At 38.4% G+C, this 25,826-nt stretch overlaps 1 protein-coding gene and 1 long non-coding RNA gene across 50 annotated transcripts in view, besides 1 other annotated feature; one reads left to right on the forward strand and one right to left on the reverse strand.

The window, feature by feature from the left end:
- SNHG14 (small nucleolar RNA host gene 14) overlaps positions 1-25,826 on the forward strand; it is a 595,855-nt gene that overhangs the window by 503,262 nt on the left and 66,767 nt on the right. The gene's annotated exons all lie outside the window — the stretch shown is intronic.
- Positions 5,013-5,307: a silencer, noted in NCBI's record as "tiled region #5757; HepG2 Repressive non-DNase unmatched - State 16:ElonW". NCBI's record gives its function as "represses a minimal TATA promoter and a strong SV40 promoter by Sharpr-MPRA in HepG2 cells {active_cell/tissue: HepG2}" and the evidence as "EXISTENCE:reporter gene assay evidence [ECO:0000049][PMID:27701403]".
- The window catches only part of UBE3A (ubiquitin protein ligase E3A), a 105,329-nt gene continuing 86,361 nt past the window's right edge, over positions 6,859-25,826 (reverse strand). For 45 of the 49 annotated variants that reach the window (NR_148916.2, XM_017022548.3, XM_017022547.3 and 42 more), the window contains 2 exons: positions 13,216-13,359; positions 6,859-12,388 (listed from right to left, as the gene is read on the reverse strand). Coding sequence is in view for 48 of the 49 variants with exons in the window: in XM_017022548.3 (XP_016878037.1) it covers positions 12,268-12,388; positions 13,216-13,359 (265 nt within the window). In the remaining variant the exon portion in view is untranslated. The remainder of the gene's footprint in view (positions 12,389-13,215; positions 13,360-25,826) is intronic. The other 4 variants (NM_000462.5, NM_001354505.1, NM_001354526.1 and 1 more) reach the window with 2 other exon arrangements.

The following is a 25,826-nucleotide window of genomic DNA, read 5'->3' on the forward strand; positions in this document are numbered from 1 at the left end:
CAGCGAGAGTGTCCTCATTTATATCCTCGTTCTCTTCTGCCTCCTTTTTTTGTTTTAAACTTTTGGGAAGTCTCATCATTCAATACAGTTCTAATATATCACAATAACAGAGGCGGCCCAATTTCTACAAATTGACTAATTCTATCCCTGAAAAGTTCATACAATAAAACTATACAAAGCATCATTTTCAACCATCCTATAGAAAAATTTCCCTATTAAATTTTAACTCTAAATCCTCTATCTCTGTTAATAACCTTACTAAAAACTTCCCCATCACTGCCTGCCAGGGAGATCAAAAGAAACCAAATTTAAGAAACCTCCAACACCTGTACCTGACTGAAAAGCAAACATACAGACCTTTCAGTCCTGCCCCTACTATTCAGCTCCTATCACAGAGACATGGTGGATGTCCCCTTGGGAAGCGGATAGCTCTTAGGTGGAAGCTAGGCCTGCAATAAGCAGGCCAGGAAACATGTCTCCCAGGCCCCATACTCTTGGCAGAAGCACTTGGCCACCAGACAGCATGTCCTGTCAACCTACAGAGTTCTTAAAAACAAACACTGGGACCCAGAATAGTACCCTGTGGTCATAGTGCCCACAGTTCACTAAGCACCCTCACAGGTCTTTGACAGAACACTGACTGCCAGGTCACCTGGTGGGCAGAGAAATGGAAGATTCCCAGGCCCAACTAGCATCTCAGGGAAGAACCACAAGCAGAGCAACTTTCAGAGCTGGTCGGCCAGCGTTGGCACCCAGGGAAGCAAGTGCTATTCCATATTTGGAGAGAACATAAAACTCAAGGAAACAGAGAAGTCCTACTCAATACCGTTCTCAACTGAAAACAAGAGAACTTGCAAAAAAGAAACCCAGTTTTCTGGAGTCCATGGAGAAATATGAAGCCAATGCTCGGCTAACAGAGCAGAAAGCCTTTTATAAATAATGCCAGTCAAAGCTCCAAAGGTCAGAGCTGATGCATGCCGGATTGTTCTGACAATTTCTTAGGTTTCTAGGCAACAAGGAGCTGGTCAAACAGCTCACCTCCAAGGACATACTTTATAATACCACCCTGGTAGACGAGAGCGAGGCAGCAGTGAAGGCAATAGTCAAGAACAGGAGAGGGAGGTAAAGAACAAGATGCTCTTCAGACAGTCTGGACAAAGACAGTCCCTACCCAGCTCTCAGGAGTTGCCTCCTTAAGAAGGTGGAGGCCCAGGCAGCTCCCAGGGTGACCCTAAAGACAGACTCCAAGGAAAAGGGTGTGAGGGCAATGGTGAATATAAGGAGGTCCCCTTTCAGTAGGCAGAGCAAGTCAGTTCAGGTCTTATTTTTAGAGTCTCTGAACAGTGAAGAGAAGCTTTCTGTGGACAGCATTCCACCACCATGGGAGGGGAAAGGTGCCATGAGAGACTTCTCCAGTGGGGCATACAAGCATTGTGCAGTGATCCCCAAGATCCAGCCACTGGCAGGAAATCGAAAGGCAAGCTTCTTAAATACATAGTATATGGAGACAGAAGTGTGGAGCACTCCCAAAATGAAAGGCCAAGACCCAGGAACAACCTCCACAACCTGGAGTATATACAAATGAACCCAGCCCTGCTGACTCAGATCCACACCATCCTAAAGCAGGGGTTTCTCATGAATGAAAGGGCTAAGTATTTGGTGGAGAGAATGAGAAGTCTCCCACTGCCCACACATTTTTTCTTCAGAGATTTCTTTTCCAAGAGCCCCTTGAATAAAGGAAGGGAGGGAGCACTGAATGCCCCAGAAATCAGAATGCATGGTGCGGGAAGACGACAGGAAATAGTTCTCAAAGAGATCAGAAAATAAATTGGAAGCAATTTCATTACCACAAAGAACAGACATTTTTTCTAAGGCACCCCTCCCCTTTCCACCCAATTGTCATTCAGCAACTACTGAATACTTACCAATGAAAAACGTTACCCCTGACCTCAAGGCTGCTCCTGAGCTCTGGTAGAAAATGCTTTCCTTGTCTATAAAACATGGCAAGCAAGGCAGGATTTAACAGTAAGGGCACAGTAGCACTGCAAGCCTTCAAATGGAAACCTGGAGACAAGCAGTGAGAACAGGAAGCAAAAGCAGGGCAGGTGAAGCTAGGACCAGGGCATCTGGAACTTTCCACACAGGTTGGATCTCCATGCCAGACAACAGTTTTCAAGGAAAAATATCTAAGAGGAACATGACTTTGGGAAACTTTTTGGCAGTACTGCTTACTGTATACTAGAGAGTAAAAGAATTTGGGGAACATTCACCAATTTGCTTCTTCAGGGGCTTGGGTAGGGAACGTGAACAGGAACCTGGCTCTAATTTCTGAACTTTTTTATCAGTAAAAACAATCCAACAAACGAAAGCTAGTCAGTGAGAGAACTGGGAGGGTCTGCCCTCCTTCCCTGAGTCAAGCCTTCTGGGGGGACCTCCTGACATTTAATTAAGCAAAGACAACGCCCACTGAAGGAAGCTGACCTGAAAGTGACACGCTACTGTGAAATGAGCATGAAGTGGGAGCTTGTTACATATATGAAATGGCCAGCGATCCTGAGCAAAGCGCTTCAGAGCTTGAGACCTAAGTCTTCTCATCTATATACTGAGGGCTGGACAAGATGATCTGTCAAGCCATTTTTATCCCTAATCCACCAAAATCCAATGCTTTAGTTTATTGTCACAAAAGCAGGTATCGAATGGCTATCCTGCAGTGCCTCCAATCAACATTCAGACTTTTTCCCTGAGGCAATATAAGATAACAGTTAACATGTTTTTATCAATTAGGTGGTCATGAGATAAATATATATGGGAAGTGGTAGTTTTTCACTTAAATGCATATAATAATGGTACAGCTCTCTTTGAATAGTATTTGTTTATTTCTTAAATATTTAAGTTCCTAAAGACGGTAAGAATAACCCAAGGAAGTGAAATCAATGTCACAAAGCACATGGCTAAATAACTGCAGGTTTGCAGTGCCATGTGTGAGATCAGATGACAGAAGGGAGAACTACCTTTAGGCAGAGGCTTCTCATGTCCCCTGGAGTGGCCATGTGCTGTTCTACATGACTACTTCCACTTCGGTTATGTAGAAGCTATTTAAAGCACACAGATGTTTGTGATGAGAAAAAAGCCACCCTTAATTGAATAATGGAAATTATAAGCATGATTTGAGGGTGGGGGTGGAGGTGGGAGTAGAGATGGGTAGAAAGGAGTGCAATGGAAACAAAGGAGCCTTCATAAAATTCAAGTCACTTCTTAGGATAACGTGATTGATTTACTCACCACCTTCTTAGGAACATAAAGCAAACAAGTGGGTTTTCCTTTTACTGCTTTTCTGAAATGAGCTACACTCAAGAAAGCAGCACGGGGGTTGTGCTGTCCCTGCACAGTGGCAGGAGAGTATGAGGAGCAGGTGAATGCCACAACAGCTCCATCCAAGATCATTTTTCACATGCAGGAACCATTCTTATACTACCCTTTACTGGTAATTTCTGTAGAAATCTGGAAGTCTGGTTGACACCCTCCTGTACAGTGTGCAGTGAATCAACATCATTTCCCTTGGACTTTGCAATCACGGTGGCATTCATACATTCATTCAACAAGTATGTATGTACAGGACAGTGGAGTAAAGAAAACAGATAGTTCTTACTCTCACGAGGCTTAAAATTTCAGGAGGGAACTAGGCAGTCATGAAGTAAACATAAAAACACAGATTGTAATAGGCACTAGAGAATAATGAAGACTTTGGGGAACACAATTTAAATTGGAAAAATATCTCAGTTCCGTTAACACATGTTGAAGGGGAATAGCATTGTTTTGCTGGATTTGGGGCCTGGATGCAAGCATGTTGGGTATGCATTGTAGGGTAATGCATTTCCTTCCATTTGGGCCCAAGTGTATATTTACCACCCAGTTGTGATGAGCTGGGATCCTCCTGCTCAATCTCAGCTTGAAGCACTTGGAGGTTATCTGCCTGCTGTGGGTGATTATTTTGGAGCAAGGTACTTCATTTGCCTCAAGAAACAGATTTGATACCACTACTGTGCCCTTTTGGAACAGAGAAGTAGGCAAGACCCCAGTGTGAGGCAGAGTGATGGGATCTTTAGGGACATAATTGATGATGTAACTGATGATGATTTTGGAGTTTATACATTTCCAAAGTTTCAAAATATTTTCACTTGGTTGATTTATCTTTATGGTGATGACACTACGTAGATATATGCCCTTCTTAAAAGTTACAGTAAGAGGCTGGGAGCGGTGGCTCACGCCTATAATCCCAGCACTTTGGAAGGCCGAGGTGGGCAGATCATGAGGTCAGGAGATTGAGACCATTCTGGCTAACACGGTGAAACTCCGTCTCTACTAAAAATACAAAAAAATTAGCCGGGCGTGGTGGCGGGCGCCTGTAGTCCCAGCTACTCAGGAAGCTGAGGCAGGAGAATGGCGTGAACCCGGGAGGCGGAGCTTGCAGTGAGCTGAGATTCCGCCACTGCACTCCAGCCAGGGCAATGAGCGAGACTCCGTCTCAAAAAAAAAAAAAAAAAAAAAAAAAAAGTTACAGTGAGAGTTGACATTGAGAAAAGGGAGGCCCAGCCAGGGTTATGCAAAGACACAGTAGGGAGGAGGATGGGAAGTTTCTGAGACACCCCAGTAACTGCATGGGTCCACAAAGCACATGTACAGTCTGCTCTATGCACTGCAGGTACAGCCACGAATAAGACAAAGTCTCTGCCCTCATGGAGCTTGGTGTCTGTCTACTGGAGCAGACAAAAACAAACCTGCTTTTTCTCATTTGCCTCTACTGTGGGTTCCGTGTATAACTCTCAAATGCTAGCATTTCCATGCATTCCATCCTTGTCCTTCTCTCCTCTCTGCCTTTTCCAGGAGAATTTTCCTAGCCACAGGTTCAGCTATGGTCTATGTGCTGGAGTCATACATTTTTATCTTCTGTGTACGTTTTTCTCTAGACCCATATTTTTAATTGCCTTAGGACAGCTCTCCCTGGATATCCCTCAGACACAACTAAAACATCATTCAATTGTACTATTAATAATTTTCCCTTCAAAATCCACTCCTCTTCTCTATAGACCTAACAGCAACACTGTCCGTCCAGCTCTCAAAACCTGAAATGTGGGAGTTGTCTTTGACTCTTATCTTTCCCATGCATGAGCACTGAATCAATCAGAGTCCCTAGCATGTCTTGGACTGTGGCCTCCCTTCTATCTTCAGATTATCTGCCTTTTTAGAATTATGGCAATAACTTAACTGCAAAGACCACATGTGCACTTGTGCTCTTTCAGTTTGTAATAAATATAAAATGAAAAGTGATTATGTCTTTGCTTAACGTCTGCAAAATAAAAGTCCAAAGTCCTTGGTATGGTCTATAAGGCCCTCATTATCTGACCTGCCTGCCTTCCCAATCTCATCTTAATCCCTTACAGCCTGACACTCAGACATACTAGACTTTCCACCTAACTCACTCACATACACCTATCCTGTATGTCAAGATTCGGCTTGACCTTCATCACCTACCTATCTGCAGTATTTTTGGATCTGAATTCTCTGCCCACATTGTACTTTCACATACTTCTTTTACCCTTAGTGGTTTGTACTTATGCCTGGTCTAACTAGATTGTCTCCCTGTAACAGACTTCTTGATTCAACAAAGCAGCTCTGAATCAGCCTGAAACCTATGGCACACTGCAAAATGGCAAACATTCAATAGGTATTTGCCCAGTAAATGTTAATGAAAGGAAAAAAATTCAAACTTCAGTTGGAATAGGATTAGAGACAAGTTAAAAAAAAGTTTCCCATAGAAATCTTCCTCATCGTAAATATCATCATCCTAAATGTCCCGAGTCTTTCCATGGGTCTAATTTACCAAATCATGAAGACTCTCTTTCTCACTGTGTATGTGTAGTGGGAGAGGCAGAGACAGAACGGTTTTTTTTTTTTTTTGCAAGTCTGCTCTCTGGATTCGTTTTTCTGGGGATGAAATCTCAGGCTATGTAGCTTTTCTGGTCCCTTTTTGGTAATCAACAAATCATCAGTTTCTCTAGGTATTAAAAAGCCTACACTTTTGAAACACCAAGAGGCCAAACTCTCTCTTAATTGAAAACATAATTCTGCCTCTTACTGAGGTCTTTGGGTGGGAAGCTTAAAGACAGCAGTGTTGGGGCAATTGGTTTTTCTTTTCCTCCCTCCACCTTCTTTCCCATTCAAGAGCTGTTGCTGCCCTTTCTGGAGGGGAGGGAATTAGAAAAAAAGATCCTGCCTTACCCAGTCACTGTTAATTATTACTTTGAGCCAGGGTGGGGAATGACTTTCTTTCCTGGAATACACCCTGCTGGAAACCACAGCTGAGATTCTCTAAGCTGGCAGCTTCCAACCTCTCCTCCCTCAACAGCTTCAACATTATATGGCACTCAGCTGCAGGGTGCCTGGCTCCAGGCCGGCAGTCCATTTGTGCAGGGTAGTTTTCAAGATGGCTCATAGCCCATCTCTTTCAGTGACCAGCGTGGCCTATGGGAAACATACATCTTGACTCCATTATTGGTAGGAGTACTCTTTAGTTAACTGCCACAGGCCAGTTCAGACACGTCTTACCCTGAGAGCCTTTTCAGAGTCAGGTACCATCCCTGTGTCCCCCAGCATCTGAAGATCACAGGTGAAGGTCTCCAAGTAGTTCACTTAAAAAATACCTCAGTAGGTTTAAGAACAGGGAAAGCTCCCAATTCATTCTGTCAGGAGTATGACTCTCATCCCCAAACTGGACAGATATATAATATGAAAACTACAGACCAATATTCCTTATGAATATAGATGCAAACATTCTAAACAAAATACTAGCAAACCAAATCCAGCAGCATAGAACAAGGTTTATGTAGCATGGACAACTGAGATTATCCCAGGAATGCAAAGTTAATTCAATATACAAAAGTCCATTAATACAACATATTAATAAAGGACAAAACAACATGAAAATCTTGATACAGAAGAAGCATTTAACAAAACCCACAGCCCCTCCTTTTTTTTTTTTTGATTAAAAAACACTCAGTAAACTAGGTTTAATAAAAGAATTTCCTCAACTTGAAGCAAACCCACAGCTAGCTAACATCATACTCAATGGTGAAAGACTGAATGCTTTCCCCTTAAAATCAGGAACAAGAAAAAGATGTCTGCTCTTGTCACTTCTATCCAATATTGTACTGGAGGTGCTAGCCAGCACACTAAGGCAAGAAAATGAAATAATAGGAATCTAGACTGGAAAGGAAGAAGTAAAAGTATTTCTGTTCACAGATGCATGATCTCATATGCAAAAAATACTAAGTGACAAAAAAAGAATTTTAGAAAAGCTACAATATACAAAATCAATATACAAAAATTAATTTTATTTCTAACACCAGTGATGAATACAAAAATAAAAATTAGAAAATAATCATATAATTAAAGTGGCATCAGTAAAATACTTAGAAAAAAATTAAAGACGTCAAGACTTGCACACTGAAATCTCTAAAACATCACTGAAATAAAGACCTAAGCAAATGCAAAGACATCCCACAGTCATGGAACAGAAAACCTAACACCATTAAAATAGCAGTTATTTCTCAAATTTATCTACCAATTCAACTAAATCCCTATCAAGATCCCAGCTGTTTTGCAGGAATTGACACAATGATCATATAAAAATTCATATGCAATGCAAGGGACCCAAAACAGACAAAATGATTTTGGGGAAAAAAAAAAAAAAAATGGAGGACTTGCACATCCCAAATCTAAACTTACTACCAAGCTACAGCCATCAAGACAGTGCGGTGCTGGTATAACGACAGACATATAGGGCAATGGAGTAAGACTGAGAATCCAGAAAGTCTTATATTTATGGTCAACTGTTCTTTGACAAGGGTACCAGGACCATTCATGGGGAAATAATAGTCTTTTCAACAACTGGTGCTTGGGCAGATGGATATACAGATACCAATGCACTTATGCAAAAAATGGATGAAATAGGAAACTTCACTACATTCTACTGCATGCTCGGTCATTTTCAATCATTTAGGTGGCAACACTGACAAGATAACAGAAAGATGGAGGTAATAACATGTGAAAGGCAAAATGGTTTGTTTTTTTTTTTAAAAATGACAGTCTCTATCATGAATTTACTTACACTCCAGGCAAAGGTTATTAGAAGAAAAAAAGATGTAAGAAAATTCCTTAACTGAAATGTGGAAAGAGTATCAAGAGGAGACCCTAAGACACTCTGTAAGAATCCCAGTGACTCCTCACTGTTCAACTAAGAAATGTACCCCATTATGCTGTGCTACCACGGAAGCATTGGAGGCACTTTGGGGGTTGATGAAGTCTTCATGGATGAGGTACTTTAAATATCTGGTCATGAAGAGTATTTGAGAAATATGACAAGTGAAGATGCTGGGTAGGAATGCAGCGAGGAAAGTGTGTAACACAAGGCCAAATTGGAAAGGTCAGTGAGGGGGCAATCTGTGGAGGCACTGAATGCAGAGGATATTAAAATTAGCAAGATAGTGTTCTAGCACAATGAAAAGGATTGGAAGAGGGAGATGAGAGTCAGGGAGTGAAATTAGGCAGCTGCTAAGAATGTCCGGGTGAGTCAGAGGATCAGGACCTGTAAGGGCAGTATAAAGAAGGAAGGAATGATGGGAGAGGTTTAGGGGGAAAGAAGTGACAACCTGTGACAATTGAGGAATGAGAGATTTTGATGATTGGGGTGAAGGTTACATTTCTTAAAAAGAAACAAAGAATGGTCGGTCGATAGAGATGCAAGATGAAGAATTTTGTTTTTAGGACTACTGACTATGAGGTAACAAAGAAATCCCAGAGACAGAGGTCTGAGCAAAAGATATGGGATTGGGGAAGAATCTTTGGGAGTGACTGAGGTTGACTAGAGGGAACTGGGCAAGAACAGGTAAGGACTTTAAGCAGAATTGGAGGAGTATCCATCTAAAATCTGGGTAAACTGGGATGGAAAAACAAGTAGCCAGAGAAGCAACAGCCCAAGCTAGGGTGTTGTCAAGGTTATAGATGTTACTGATTTTGGCAATGAGGAGATTATAAGGATCCTTGAAGACTGTACTTTCGGTGAAACTACCATGCATTAGTAGCCTTTCACAGTGATATCTACCCCACACCTGCATCAAAATCTTGCAGTGCCTATTAATAAATGCCAACCCACTAACGGGGAGGGGAGAAAAGACTTGGGACTCTGTACTTGTAAAACCCTCTACCCTCCCCAGGCAATTCTTTACACACTAACACTGTTGAGGTAAAAGGAGACAAGTGAGGGAGCAAATGGAAGGTGTGTTTTTGGATTATACAGTGGCTCATGGAAGGGTGGGAGGGGTACAGATGGCCCTTAGACACTGGCGGAAAGTCAGAGAAAAAAAATTACAGTAAGCAGGTAAAGGGATCAAGACTACACAGGGACTAGTCTTGGGACGACATTTCTTCCTCTGACAGTTTGTATGGAATTCTTGAGAAAAATTCCTCGAAGGGGCCTGAAATCTCAGAATGGTCATGTTTTTAATGGGAATAGGGAGTGATGCTGCCCCATTACAACCATCTGTTCTAACAGAATGTCTGTACCGAGGAGGGATGAGTAACATCGGCAAGTTCTGTTCGAAGCCTTTTTCAAGTTTCTTTTTGATATGTATCTATCTATCTATCATCTCCCTATACAAGCAAGCATCCCCAAAAGTAGTTGTCTCAGGAAACCAGGGTTAGGATGACCAGCTCATTTGCTGGAGCTGCCAAGGTCCAGAAAAGTTTGGCTGCAGGCTGTTTTCATGTTTTATGTATGTTTGAAATGTTCTATAATAATAAAAGGTTAAAAAAGTTTACATTTATTTGGAAAACCAGTTACTTTAGTTTATGGTTCCTTTTTTTCCCTCCAGAGCTTCCTGGAGATTGAGGTCTAATTCAAAGAAAACCAAAATATATAATAGAGTACCTGGGCAAAAAAAGTACTTTTATAACATAACATTTGGGGTAGAGGAAGTATCCACTGTAGTCAAAATGTCTATGTTTTGCTCTTCCTTATTGTTCAGGGACATTCCATTAAATAGTAATGAAAAGGCAGCAAAAGTAAGAGGAGTGACAACATGCCCGGCATAATTAAGCAAGCTAGAGCAGCTATTCTGTGCAACCGACGATTTTTTTTCTCTAAAATTTTAAGGGTAGGTTCATTCTGACTCTGTTAAAAGTCTACTTGATGTGAACAACTCTATATCTGATAACCTATTTCAATTACCACTTTAAAACTTGTCATATGGATACGTTATTACAATTGTAGAACTTTAATAAATACCATAATAATAAAACTTGAGAACTGAAGAGCACACATTTCTTCACGAATTTATTATATAAAACGCCCTCAGAGTATTTAATTTCTCCTCACTTTAATTACACATTAAGAAGCACAGTGGATGAGAAGCCTTTAAGATGACTACAGTTGCACGAAGGTCCCTTTCATCAAGGTAGCGTATGTACCCTAACAGTGTTCTAAAGGCTGGCCCAGAAAAACCCCATGTTACCTTATCACAATATGGAAAGCATTGTCTTCTTTTTCCACTAAATTAAATTATGGTGAAAAGTGCCACAGTTTTATTTAGCATTATGGTACATAACAAACAGTTCTGTCTCAATTATGAAAAAAATTAATTAAAATAATCCTGAAAGACATCCTTTTTCTCCCCCCAATGATTTGAAAGCTGCATTTTTCCTGCCAATTTCAAACAAACAAATCATCAGGTTGATCTACAGTAATCAGTTAAAACAATCAGTCAATCAATCAATCAATCACCAAGGCACAAGCTCAGCACATTAGCTATAGCTTGTAGCAAAAGGATATATCAATGTCTCACCTTAGTTAAAAATACATAATCCTTTTATTTTATAATGCAATAAAAGAAATTAACAACATCACATACACAGAAGACTAGGAAAGGGGAAACTACTTACTTCTGGAAATCAGTAATGTAAACCTACTTGTACTTTTCCATAGTACATGAAAGTAACGTTTAACATGTTTTGAATTAATTAATTAAATTTAATCTGTGGGGCTATACAATGTAATTCTTAGGAGTAATAGTTTCATTCATTTCCAGGTCAGCTTACTGTATGATTAAGTAACACAAGGCACAGTAGCCATCTTTTTCATTATGTTGCAACACTGATCACGTGCCTCGATAAAATGGCTGATTCAACAAGATGATGGCAACACGAAGGGGAGACTTTGGATTGTCTATTTAAAATCTAGGTAATAAGTAAGTAATTAATAAAAACTCTATCTTAAGTGCACTTTCACATGCTTTTTGTTTATAATAAACAAACAACAAACTTCCTAACTTTGTTGCAATAGGCTTGACTACCATTTCATTTGGCCAAATGCACTTTCCCCAGTAAACTTAAAACAACAACGAGAACAACAAGAACAAAAATCCCTGTCCTTTCATATACTAAGAAAGAGGATTGGCTACTGAAACAGTTCATTGCAAGACACATGAAGACGACATACTGTGGCATGAGTTGTTTTTGTTTTTAATTTGTTGTGCTGTTACTAAAGTTCTGAGGGCTGCAGTTAAAACATTCCAATTTCTCCCTTCCTTCCATCTTTCTTTATTGATTGATTCTCAAGATTTTGCACAGAAAACTCTTTGGGGGCTAGAACAGCAGTAATTGCATCACACTGTTTTCAAGACTTCAAGTTTCAAAAGCAAATCATTAAAAAAAATACAGTTCCTGATTTGAGTTAGATACAGGGACAAAAAAGTAGCACATACTTGAAGGTTACGTGGTCTACAAATGGTGGCAATATTTTCCTTGGGAGAGTAGTTCTGTTGGTATATATTTTTTAAATACTCAAAAGGCTCAACCTCAAGCAGTAATAAACACAAGCAAAAGTGATTTAACCCTTAAAATAAATATTCAGAAAAACCTCTCTGTACATACAAGTGAAAGAATATGTAACACTTTCACGCAAAAAAATAATTATAATAATAATAAAGGATTTGTTCATATATGTAGCTGAAATCTGCTGTTCCAGCCCACATGTCCCCAATAAAGAAGGGAGGCACAGACATAGGTGACTACTGTGGTTGACTATCTTACAGCCTTTTTGTACTGGGACACTATCACCACCAAAAATTTATCCCTCGTTATATTTTTAAAATTTTTTAAATTTTTTCTTTTTTTTTCCTTCCTTTTTTTTGTTTTATTTTGTTTTGTTTTGTTTTACAGCATGCCAAATCCTTTGGCATACGTGATGGCCTTCAACAATCTCTCTTTAAGTTTTTCTTTGCTTGAGTATTCCGGAAGTAAAAGCACATTAAAGCAAGTATGAGATGTAGGTAACCTAAATAGAGAAAAGGGGAAAAAAACAGGAAAACTGTAAGTCATGGGAAATACACTTAGAATTAAATGCTCCTATTTTTAGATTGTATATAGTTGAGACGGTCTGCAATGCAAACTATACATTAATGCAAATCATAAACTTTTTGTTGTGTAACTACCAAGTTGCCTTTATCCTATAAATTACTCAAAGCTAGTGACGATGATAAGATACTGTATCCATTGAGTTTTTACTACATAACAGATACCATTTTAGGTACTGAATTCTTACAGTTCATTTAACTAAATCTTTCCACAACAAAACCACAGAGAGGACATCAGTAAATGCACTTTAGAGGTTAGGTCACTGAGAAGTCAAGTAACTTCCTCTAAGGTGGAGAAAATACTCAAACCTGTTTTACAAGACTGCAAAGTGTGTGCTCTTAAATGCTTATTAGAAACACTGCTGGCAATATGACTAAGAAAATGATTTGATAACAGGATTCTAGCACAATCAAATGATAATCTTCCGAGCCTCAATGTAACCATTCTAAATAGATGATCATGTTATATGGCTTTCAATTAACAAGCTGGGAATCAAAAAAGTAAATGAATCACACTAATTTGATTCCAAACCAATGTGAGCCCCATAATAATTTTTAACTAGGGCAATTTCTTAAAAGTTTCCTCACACAATGACAGCAAAGTATTTTCTCAATTGTCTAATATGATTTGGGGATTTGTATATAAAATCACGAATGTGCTCAGAAACTATAAAGACAGTTCATATGTATGTGACGAGGAATGCAAGGTTTTCGGTAGGTATACAGTCACAAGTTAATAATTACCTACCTTTCTGTGTCTGGGCCATTTTTGGCTATAATCATCTTTAATTTTCCTAGTCCTCCCACAGGTGCTCTGTCTGTGCCCGTTGTAAACTGCAAGAAGAGTCTTTTCTGTTCATCTGTAAATGAATGAACGATTTCCCAGAACTCCCTAATGAGAAAAAATACAATACTGGTTTCAGTTTGGCATTCATTATGACTGGTACTAACATAAGCTTATGATTTGCATTAAAACTATATTAAGAGACAACTTGGAAGTTAATTATCAGGATAGTATCACTTCTGGTGATTTAAAAATTTCCAAGCAAATTTATCCTGAACAGCTCTGAATACGTAAAAATTTAGATTAGATTACAATATAGTAAAATATTAGTACTACAATAGTAAAAAATTGAGAAAACCCAAGTGTGTAGTAACAGGAAGTGACTATTTAAACTATGGTATAATCACATTATGCAGTCAGTAATGAGCAAAAGACAAAATCCTATGAATTGAAAAAGACTGAAATGAATATTTGGAAAAATTAACTCCAGGTGCCTTTGGGTATATATTTTATTTATCCTTTCTCCTTTATTCTCCTGGTCTACTCATCCTTTAACTCAACTTTGGGAGGAAAAAGTGATACAGATTAAGGACAAAAGAAAAAAAGACCCCCTGCCCCAACCAACTGGCCCCAAATGCAAACAACTACATACCTAATAGCAGTAATACAAAAGTTCAATTTTTATATGAACTAGAATACTTTAAACAAGTAATATGTGCTGTGTATGGAGGAGGAGAATTATTCTGACATTTCTGCCACCTGCAGTTATTTTAAGAGAATGATTTATCCTGTGGCATTCCTAAAATCTATGTAATAAAAGCTATGTTTTAATGACACTTATGTTAGTTTGAGTTCTAAAAAACGAAATACAAGCTCATAAAGTGCAATCTTGAAGTTTATTTGAATAATCAGGCATCTATAAAACATATATACACTAGTTCATAGCTAAATAAATTTTTTTTTTTTTGAGACAGAGTCTTGCTCTGTCGCTCAGGCTGGAGTGCAGTGGCGCGATCTCGGCTCATTGCAAGCTCCGCCTCCTGGGTTCGCGCCATTGTCCTGCCTCAGCCTCCCAAGTGGCTGGGACTATAGGTGCCTGCCACCACGCCTGGCTAATTTTCTGTACGTTTAAGTAGAGGCAGGATTTCACCATGTTAGCCAGGATGGGTCTCGATCTCCTGACCTCGTGATCCGCCCACCTTGGCCTCCCAAAGTGCTGGGATTGCAGGCATGAGCCACCGCGCCTGGCCTATAGCTAAATAATGTTAAGATTAAAAAATTAAAAAAAAAATTAAAAGTATTTTTAGTTGCTTATATAATATAAAATGCATTTTAATAGTTATTTAGAAAGTTCTTTCCAGAGCCAGGTGTGGTGGCTCATGCCTGTAATCCCAGCACTTTGGGAGGCTGAGGCCAGTGGATCACCTGAGGTCAGGGGTTCAAGATCAGCCTGACCAACGTGGTGAAACCCTGTCTCTACTAAAATACAAAAATTAGCCGGGCGTGGTGGCAGATGCCTGTAATCTCAGCTACTTGGGAGGCCAAGGCAGAAGAATTGCTTGAACATGGGAGGCGGAGGCTGCAATGAGCTGAGATCACACCATTGCACTCTAGCCTGGGAAACATTTTGAGCCATCTCAAAAAAAAAAAAAAATTTCATCTCAAAAAAAAAAAAAAAAAAAATTCCAGAATGTTAGCAGAGAACATCACACATCCCAAACCAGTAATTACAATTTTCTACCTTTTGATATTCTAATATCCCAACATACTATTTTTATTACCAAAATGCTGGCATTTTTGGTGCTGCAACACCATTTATCTGAAATAACTTAAAAGTTTTATTAGAATTCTTGGCTTTCTCCAATCTCTTGCCACTTCCCTTCCCTGCCCCTTTACAAATCCACCAGTCAGCAAGAGAAAACAAAAAAGAAACACACAACAACAGAAAACTGGACATGAAACTTGCAGGAGCATCTCTCAGGTAAGGAGGAGAGGAATCGGACCCCAGTTCATGATACTCCTTTTGGGGAGGCTGACAAGAGAAAACAAGTCTGCTGTAGCACAGAACCCTCCAACATAGCAGAAAAGCTGCCCTGCAGTGGGTGGTAATAAAGCCTCCTCACACTGCAGGAGGGCTCTGAAGCTTAACTGAACCAGCTACACCTAAGGAGGTAGACCAAAGAGCACCACCGAAGAACAGAGACAGACCCTGCAGGAAGTGGCAGATCAGCAGTGGTCACAATGACCAGTCTGGCTATATTATTACGGAGCTGTTTCTTTGGACTTTTAAACGAAACCTTTAAAAATTTTATACAATGAAAACAGGGAACAAAATGCATCTCTATTCCTATAAGTGTTATGTGTGTTACATTAACATTTTGAATTAAACAAGAATGCATATATTTAGAAAGCTGAAGAAAACACGAAGAAGCTTCCAGGTTTCCACATAAAAGTGGTGGCTGTATCGATCACATCCTACTCACATCTCTAAAAATCTACCCGGATCAAAAAGGGGAAAATAAAAAAAAAACCTATGACTTAGGTCTAGAGTAAAACTAGGAGACAGAACAATAAACTCCAAATACCAAAGAAGTGGGGAAATGAGCAGGGTCCAGCAGGAGCTACATCGAAGAGTGGCTTGTGCGGAATCATACTGATTAGGGATCACCCAAGGCCAGACCCCACCCCCTCCACCACCTGCCCCTCAACAGAGCACTACTGAGTGTAGGTTAGAGCACTGGCAACAGGGTGGTTAAAGGAAGGACTACAGAAAAGTACTTGGGTCCAGCAATGGCAGGCTCAGGAAGGCACCATGCATGAAAGGAAGGGGGGTACCTTCAAAAGCAGAAGTGTCCCTTAAGCGGCTGTAAAGGGGTGGAAGCAGCTAATGAAAAAGAGTCTTCATTAAGCTACATGGAGCTGAAAAATCAGAAAGTGGTGATTCTGCCCTTACTAAAGCAACAGAAGAGGGATCCCTTCAACCAAGACCCCTAAAGCCACACAATTCCTCCCTGCTCCACCATGAGGTCTAGTAATAACAGGTCCAGAAAAAAGTAACATCTGTTATAGAAACATAAACAAGAAAAACAGAATTCGGAAGTCTAAATAAAGTTATTATGGGAAGAGTCTGGCGAATGAGAAGCAAAACTTTCCGGTAGACAAAAGTAGACCAGAAAAATTCAGTCATAAACAATGGGAAACTAGTAACACCACATTCCAACACAAAAGGAGAATGCAGCAGCAGACAAGACAGACCACCAGTGATGAGAAATACAAATTCAGAAAGAAATGAGCACATCTTAAATAAAAATAAGAATACTAAAAAATACTGAAGAAATATGCAAGGTAACTTTGGAAATAAAGGCTAATTTTATTATAAGGTGACCAAAGAAGAAGCAGTATGACTAAAATTTCTACTGAGGACAGACTCTAGAAAATTAAAAAACAAAGAAAATGAATAAAATAAACATAACTAAAGAAATGCATATCAAAGCATAATAACGAAAAAGATTAATAGCTAACTACATAAACATAAAACCTTTCATTTGGCAAAAAAATCCTATAAGCAAGGTTAAAAGACAAATGACAAACTGGGAAAAAATATTTGCGAATTTACCAGCGTTAAAGGACTAATCTCCTTAACATATAAAGTTTCTAAAAGTGAAGAAAACGACCAGCTGAGCAGCAAAATGAGCAAAAGACTATATAAAACTATAAACAGCTCTACAAGAAAAAATGTCCATTATCATTCATAATTGAGGTAAGCTCAAAAATTGTAACTATAGTAAAATACCATTTCTCAATTGGCAAATAAGTAAACATCCACATTTAACAACACATTCTGTTTGGAAAGTTTTAAGAAAAGAGATACTGTTGTAAACTGCTGGTGGGAATGCAAAATGTTATTTTTCTGTGAAGGAGGATTTGGCAGTATCTAGCAAAATTACACATGCATCTACCATTTGATGCAACAATCCCACTTCTAACAATTTATCTTAATGATACTTTACATATGTACGGAATAATGCATGAACATTAAGAGGATTCACTGTGACATTAGTACTAACAGCAAAAGGTTAAAAATAACCTCGATGCCCATAAATATTGATAAGCTATGCTGCATCCACACAAAGGAGCAGTATTCAGTCATACAAAACAAAATGGAAAACACCTCTGCAATAATGTGGGATGATTCTCAGGATACACTAGGAAGATTATTTTCCTAGTTCTGTCCTCTGATAAGGCCTACAAGCAGTAACGTTCAAAAGCAAAGGCCATACTTTGCATCTAAAATCTGACTTCTAAATGCCATTCTCCAACAATTTATTGGAAAAATAACTTATTCCAGGCCTGAGAATGAATGTTCGAGATTAGTTAGAAATCTCAAAATCTAATAGGGTCATTTTAAAAGCACACGATAGCTAAGCAATTTGAATATCATTTAGAGTAATGACTGTGAAACGTATTAAATACAAAAACATTCATTAGTTCGTAATATTCAAAAAGGCAGCAAAAACCAACCAAAAAACAAAATTAAATTGTCACTATTAAAATTATTACATTAACTCCTTACTCTAAAAACCTTAAATCTATTTTATCATGCCTTTTCTGTAGAACTGTTTTTCAAGGTAATCAAATGGCACCCAATGATGAGAAAAAAGAATGCCAGGTATATATGTAGGACAAGCAGATGGAAATTTTTTTTCCCCAAACAGCCATTTTGCAATCCCCAATGAGATAACAGATTAAGGTAATGATACTGATAAATACGAAAATCAGGTGAAGGGCAGGTAGCAGGTTCTGGAAAGATGATGATGGCAACGACATAGTTATTATTATTATTATTTTTTGTTTTATTCCCTCCCAACCTCCCCTACAAAAACAGCAAACTGAATGAGAAAACCAAAGACCCAGAGACATTATCTACAACAAAACCATGAACCATTGCATATAATTGGACAGAAACAAAGCTCTGACAACTACAAGACTGGTTAGTAAGGAAGCAGATGCAAGGTAACTGACTGGGTTTCTGACAGCCCTGAGAACACTGCCAACCCACTGGAAAGCACAGGCCAATCTGAAAACAGGGCTTAAAGTTTTAAAAAGTTCTACAGGATCTAATTTGCAGATGATTACAAAGGGATCATGATGTAGTAAGCTCTGGGCCCTTAAAACACCCGAATACCAAACCCCCACCAGAAACAAACCTTGTACCGAGGAAAAACTTCTGGGAATAACTTCCGAATGGACCAGGTCAGTAATAAAAACCAAAAAAAAGTTCAAATATATGTGTGGGATAGAGGAGTAAAGAAGGCAGTTTCAGAAAGCACAAGGGCATATTTTTGACCATTTTACAAAAACACAGACTTCTCCTCGTCCCTAAAAAGCGAAAAAAGTTATCCTGGCCCATCTCTCCCTCGTCCAAGTATGAGAAACTCATTTCACTCACACACACACACACACACACACAAATAAATAAATAACAGAACAGAGTGAAACAGTGTAATTATTAGAGAAAAAGTATGTGCATATACATGAGAATGGTGTCCCTACAGAAAATCAAAGTACATGAAACAATATGCAAATAAAACATGAAAACTGTAAACAAATTTCAAACTGAGCTAAAAAGAATTTAAAAAATAACAAATCATTAGAAATGGGAAATTTCTGAATGAGGGTAACTGAAAAAAAGGAAGACATGACACAACTAAGGAGTAATTAGAAATGCAAGGAAAAAAATCCCATCAAATACAAAGAAACTAAAACTAAACTAGAAGAAACATAAAGGTGAATAAAACAGAACAATAATACCAGAACCTGAAGGCAGAAGAAAAATCTTAAAATCAAAAAGAAACAAACCCATGCTTGAGACTCTCCTTGCTGGTCCAGAGCCACAGTGCTGCTGTGTACTGGCAGGAGGAATTCTGCTATAATTGGTCCTGGCAGTGTTCACCTTTCCTGCAAGTGTTCCACAGCCCAGGGACACAATGTGGTCAGGAGCACTGCCAGGAACACCAGCAAGGGGGAGCCTGCCACAACAGGCACAAGGCTCAGGAAGCACTCTCCAGCCCACGAAAATCTAGTGGGGGTCCTCTTCCCTCACCCAAACACACTCTGCGCAGCTCAGCCTGGAGAAGGCCCCTCAAGCAGCACTACTAGGAACCAGTGCGAGCCCCAGTGGACTGAGATAAAAGCAACAAACCAAAACAGCACCATAAAGCCTCTGAAAAATGGTCACTGGAACCACAGCTCACAAATATATGCTAGTACCTACATGCTATACCTTAACAGGTTACTACTGAAGTTAAAATTTTTAAAAAGTACAGAGTCTCCTGATATAATAACTAAAATGTCCGAGACACAATCCAAAAATTATCTGTCATACCAAGAACCAGGAAAATTACATGAAGGAAAGAAAACGCCAACACTGGGATGAGTAAGATGCTGAAATTATCTGGCAAGGATCTTAATGCTGCCATCAGAGAAATGATTTGACAAGCAATTACAAGTTCTACTGTTTCAAAAACGAAACAATAGAAAATCTCAGCAAGGAAACAAGATACAAGGAAAAAAAAGCAAATGGAAATTATAGACCTAAAAAATACAATAGGAGAAAAATAATCATTAGATGGGCTCAACAGTAGAGTGAAGATGACAAAGGAGAGAAATCTGAACAAAAGAGAGAAAATAGACTGAAAAATGAACCATGCCTCAGGTCCATGTGGAACAGTAACAAATGACTCAACATTTGTATCATTAGAGGCCTAGAATGGAGAAAAGAGTGACGCTGAAAGAACACCTGAAGAAATAATGGTTGAAAATTTTCCATGTTTGGCAAAAGACACAAACTTACAGCTTCAAGAAGCTGAGCGAACCCCAAATAGCACAAATAAAACTATTCTTTGGGAATAAAGGGAAAATAAAGTCATCTTCAGAAAGAGAAAAACAAAAAGAATTTCTCACTAGCAGAACTGCCTTTGAAGACTGGCTAATGGAAGTAATAAAAGATGGAATCTTGGAAAAAATAATGGAAATAGCAGAAACATGGGTACATACAACAGAGCATCACTCCCTTGATAAGTTCTATAAGTCATATTGGATAACTGATACAAAAACTGTAATAGCATTAATCCTCAAAACAATACTATTTAAAAGTGGGGAAAGAGACCCAACTGAAATTAAGGTTTCCATATCTCATTCCATGTAATGGTATTGATGGCAGTGAATGGTGGTAAGTCACATTATCTATAATGTGATACCCACAATGACCGTGAAAACAACTATAAAAAACACATAGAAGGCCAGGCATGGTGGCTCATGCCTGTAATTCCAGCACTTTGGGAGGCTGAGGTGGACAGATCACAAGGTCAAGAGTTCGAGACCAGCCTGGCCAATATGGTGAAACCTCATCTCTAATAAAAATACAAAAATTAGCCAGGTGTGGTGGCATGTGCCTGTAGTCCCAGCTACCCAGGAGGCTGAGGCGGGAGGATTGCTTGAACCTGGGAAGCCGATGTTGCAGTGAGCTGAGATTGTGCCACTGCACTCCAGCCTGGGCAACAGAGCGAGACTGTGTCTCGAAACAAAAACAAACAAACAAACAAAACAAAACCCAAACACTAAATAAATCAAGGGTCTTAAAAATCTTAAAAAATGTTCAAGTAATCATGGAAGGCAATAAATAAATAACCATAAACAGAAGACAGAAACAGAAAACAAATAATAAAATGGCAGACCTCTCCCTAACATATCAATAATTACCTTAAATATAAATGGTCTAAATAAAAAAATTAAAAGGCAGAGACTAACAGTTTTTATTAAAATGACAACTATATGCTGTTTACAAGAGATTCGTTTCAAATTCAGCAACACAGGATGAAAGTAAAATGATAGTAAAAGACAGATCATGCAAACATTAATTTAAAAAAAAACAAATGGTTACACTCATATCAGATTCAGAGCAAAGAAAATCGCAAAACAGAAAAAACTTATATAATGATAAAGGACCAATCACCAAGACATAGTAATTCTAAATGGGTATGAACCAAATGATAGAGCCTCAAAATAAATGAAACAAAACCTGATAAACAGATAAATCTCAGAAGCAGACCTATATAAATATTCTCAAGTGATTTTTAACGTATGTGAAAAAAACAATTCAATGAAGGAAGAACATACCTAGAAAATACATAAGGAACCCTTAAAACTCAACAGTAAAAAACCAAATGGACTCTTGGTTTTTAATCCCAGAGAAATACAAACTTTTTGTTTACAAGTAACATCACAGTTAATGGTAAATATTATAGTCTCTCTCAATAAAATGAGGAATAAAGTAAGAATACCTTCTACCAAAGGTTCTAGCCAGTGCAATAGAGGAACAGTAATAAATAACATAAACATTGGAAAGAAAGAAACCTGTCTTGATTTGTAGATGACATAGCTGTTTACTAGAAAACCCTATGAAATCTACTAAATAACTACTAGAATAAGTCAATTTAGAAAGGTTATAGGATATAAGATCAATATATAAAAATCGATTTTATTTCAAGATAGTAATAAACAAGTGAAAAGCAGTATTTAAAAAATACCACTAATAGCATTAGAAACATATTTTAAGTTTATTCCTAACCAAAGAGTACATGATTTCAACATTAAAAACTATAAAACAGTGCTGAGATAAACTAACAAACATCTAAATAAATGGAGAGACGTACGGTGTTCAAGGATTGGAAGAATATATTGTTAAAATGTGAATTCTCTCCAAATTGACCTGCCCCAGTCAAGGCAACCCAAATCAAAATCTCTGCAGGCTTTGCCCTTTTGTTTGTAAAAATTAACTGATTCTAATATTTATATGCAAATAAAAGTCAAAGCAACCTAATGAAAAAGTTGTGGGACTCACAGCATCTGATTTGAAGCTGCAGTAACCATAACAGTGTCATTTTGGCAAAAGGACAAAACAAATTAATAGAACAGAATGGAGAATCCAGAAACACGGCTCACACACAGATTGATTTTCAACAAAGGTGCAAAGGCAATTCAATGGGGAAAGAAAAGTCTCTTTAACAAATGGTACTGGAACAAATAAATAAAACTATTTAGAAAATGAATGACATCCACTGTCTAACAGCATCACAAAATTTTATTGGTGGTGGATCACAGATTTACACATAAAAGTTAAACCTATATTACACAATTAGAAGAAAACATAAGATATTTGTGGCTTTGGGCTAGGCAAAGATATAAAAGGACATAAAAAACCATAAAAGAAAAAATAAATTAGACCTCAAAAAATGAATAATTTCTGCTCACCAGAAGACACTTAAGAAAATGAAAACTTGGAGAAAATAATCATAAACTACTTATCAGAAATGGGCCTTTTATATAGAATATACAGTATTCCCCACTTACCCATGGGGAATACGTTCCAAGACCTCCAGTGATGTCTGAAATTGCAAATAGTACTGAACCCTGTATATACTATGCATGATTTATTTTTCCTTCTTCACAATTTCATAGATACAATACTCATTTTTACCATAGATTTTAGCAACCTCAACATATGATTTTTAAATTCTTTCCTTAAAGGAAGCACTTTCCAGCTTCTCTTTGGCATATATATTCGAATTTCCAACATCACTGCTCTTGTGCTTTAGGGCCATTATTAAGTAAAATAAGGGTTACTTGAACACAAGCATGTGATACTGCAACAGTCGATCTGATAACCAGTAGACTAAAAGTGGTGGGTAGTCTAGACAACAACGATATACTGGAAAAAGGGATAATTCATGCCCTGGGTGGAAAGGTGGGAGATTTCACCATGTTACTCAGAATAGCATGTAATTTAAAACTTAAGAGTTGTTGGCTGGGTGCAGTGGCTCACGCCTGTAATCCCAGCACTTTGGAAGGCTGAAGTGGAAGAATTGCTAGAGTCCAGGGGTTTGAAACCAGCCTGGGCAACATAGTGAGACCCTGTTTCTACAAAAAAATAACCAACTAAAAATTAGCTGCACACCTGTAGTACCAGCTACTCAGAGGGCTGACGTAAGAAGATTGCATGAGCCCAGATACTCAGAGGACTGAGGTAAGAAGATTGCATGAGCCCAGGAGTTTCAGTTTATAACAATCTGTAGTCATGCTACTGCACTCCAGCCTGGATGACAGAGACTTTGTCTCTTTAAAAAAAAAAAAACCAACGAACCAACCAACCAACTCTCCCTGCCCTGCACCCGCCAACACACACATACATCAAAAACCCTGAATTATTCATGGAATTTTCTACTTAATAAATATTTTTGGACCACTGCTGACCAAAGATAACTGAAACCAAAAAAAAGCAAAACTAAGGATAAGACATACTGCTATATTTTAAGAAAATATCTATAGTCAATAGAAATACAAAAATCCAATATTAAAAATGAGGAAAAGACACTTTTAGTTAAATATGCACCTGCTATATGCTTTGGAAACTCCACTCCTACATGTTTGCCCAGGAGAAATAAAACATTTCCACAATAAGACTACACAGCTTTATTCACAATAGTCCCAAACTGGAAACAATCCAACTGTCCACCAACAGGTAAAAAAAAAACACTTTGCGTATTCATATAATGCAACACTACTCTATAATTTTTTAAAAGGCACTATAAATCAATGCAATAACATGGATGAATCTAAAGAGTCTTCATGCAGTACAAGTACATAAGATTCCATTCATAAGAAATTCTAGAGCAGACAAAAGTAAGCTACAGTGACAGTAATTAGGACAGTTATTGTCTGTTCTAATGGGGGATGGAGATTCACTGGAAGGGAAAACATGGGAACTCTGTGCTGATGGACATAGTCTACACCTTGACTGAAATATGGTTACATAAATGTAATTTTTAAAAACTAACCCAATTAAGCCCTGGGTATTTCACTGTATTCAAATTTTACCCCACACAACATCGACACCACCATTATTACCACCACATTGATAACATTCAGAGAGCAGTTAGGGAATCACATTATTTTGAAAATTAGTAAGTAATGGGAAAGAATTAAGCATTATCGTATATGATATGTACATATTTATATACATGTATACAGATCCTATATGTGGATCTGTAATTTAGGGTAGTCATAGAGTTGATGAGAAAGAGTTTTTCTTAAGAAGTATTACAGGTAATAAAGGAAGGAGGAATAAAGAATTCGAGTATCACAATTTTGTAACCCTCAATGAATTAGCAGATCTAGGCAATCAGAATCCACGATAAAAATTACTAGAAAAGACAGAAAGCGAGTGAGACTTTTAAGTTATTCCTACAAACCAACATCTATGAAGTATTTGGGAAGGAAATAAACTCTGAATCTGTTTTTCGTTTTTTTGAGATGGAATCTCACTCTGTTGCCCAGGCTGGAGTGCAGTGGCACGATCTAGGCTCACTGCAACCTCCGCCTCCCAGGTTCAAGCGATTCTCCTGCCTCAGCCTCCCGAGGAGCTGGGATTACAGCTGCCTGCCACCAAACCCAGCTAATTTTTGTATTTTTAGTAGAGACGGGGTTTCCCCCATGTTTGCCAGGCTGGTCTCAAACTCCTGGCTTCCGGTGATCTGCCCGCCTCGGGCGTTTTTGCATGTATTTTTTCAGGTGCTGAAAAAGCTCTCCCTGATTTCATTTCTTGTTGACTGCTTAGAGACATCTTTCCAAATGTCCTTCCTTGTCACTTTTTCAAAGTTAGGAGCAGGGATTGCACGTTTTTTTGATTGGTAATTTTTGTTTCAAAGGTTTGATTCAGATTCAGAGTTGATTTTGCTAGGTATGGTGGCTCACGCCTGTAATCCCAGCACTTTGGGAGGCCGAGGCGGGCGGATCACCAGAGGTCAGGAGTTTGAGACCAGCCTGGCCAACATGGCAAAACCCTTATCTCTACTAAAAATACAAACATTAGCCAGGTGTAGTGGTGTGCACCTGTAACCCCAGCTACTCAGGAGGCTGAGGCAGGAGAATCACTTGAACCCAGGAAGCGGAGGTTGCAGTGAACTGAGACTGCGCCACTGCACTCCAGCCTCAGTGACAGAGCAAGACTGTTTAAACAAACAAACAAAAAATTAACAAAATCTTATTTCTAGTGGTTTACATATTAATGATGCTGGCAACTTTTAGTTGAAATGTATTAAACAGCCTCGCAGTTTTTATTTTTATGAATTCTGCATACAATAAATAAATACCAACCAAAATATCTATACAGGCATACCCCAGAGATACTGCCGGTTCAGTTTCAGACCATGGCAAATAAAGTGATTATGGCAGTAAAGTGAGTCACACAAATTTTTTTGTTTCCCAGTGCTTATAAAAGTTACGTTTACATTATACTGTAGTCAAGTGTGTAACAGCATTGTCTAAAAATAAGTACATTATCTTAATTTAAAATCATTGCTAAAAATGCTAATGAAGTGAGCACATTTTGTTGGAAAAATGGTGCTGGTAGACCTGCTTGATGCAGGGTTGCCACCAAAAAAACTCAGTATCTGCAAAGTGCAATAAAGTGAGATACGCCTGTAATGTCTTTTTTCTCTTCTGTTATTACAAGCACT

Source organism: Homo sapiens, chromosome 15 (genome assembly GCF_000001405.40).
Source record: "Homo sapiens chromosome 15, GRCh38.p14 Primary Assembly".
Lineage (NCBI taxonomy): Eukaryota > Metazoa > Chordata > Mammalia > Primates > Hominidae > Homo > Homo sapiens.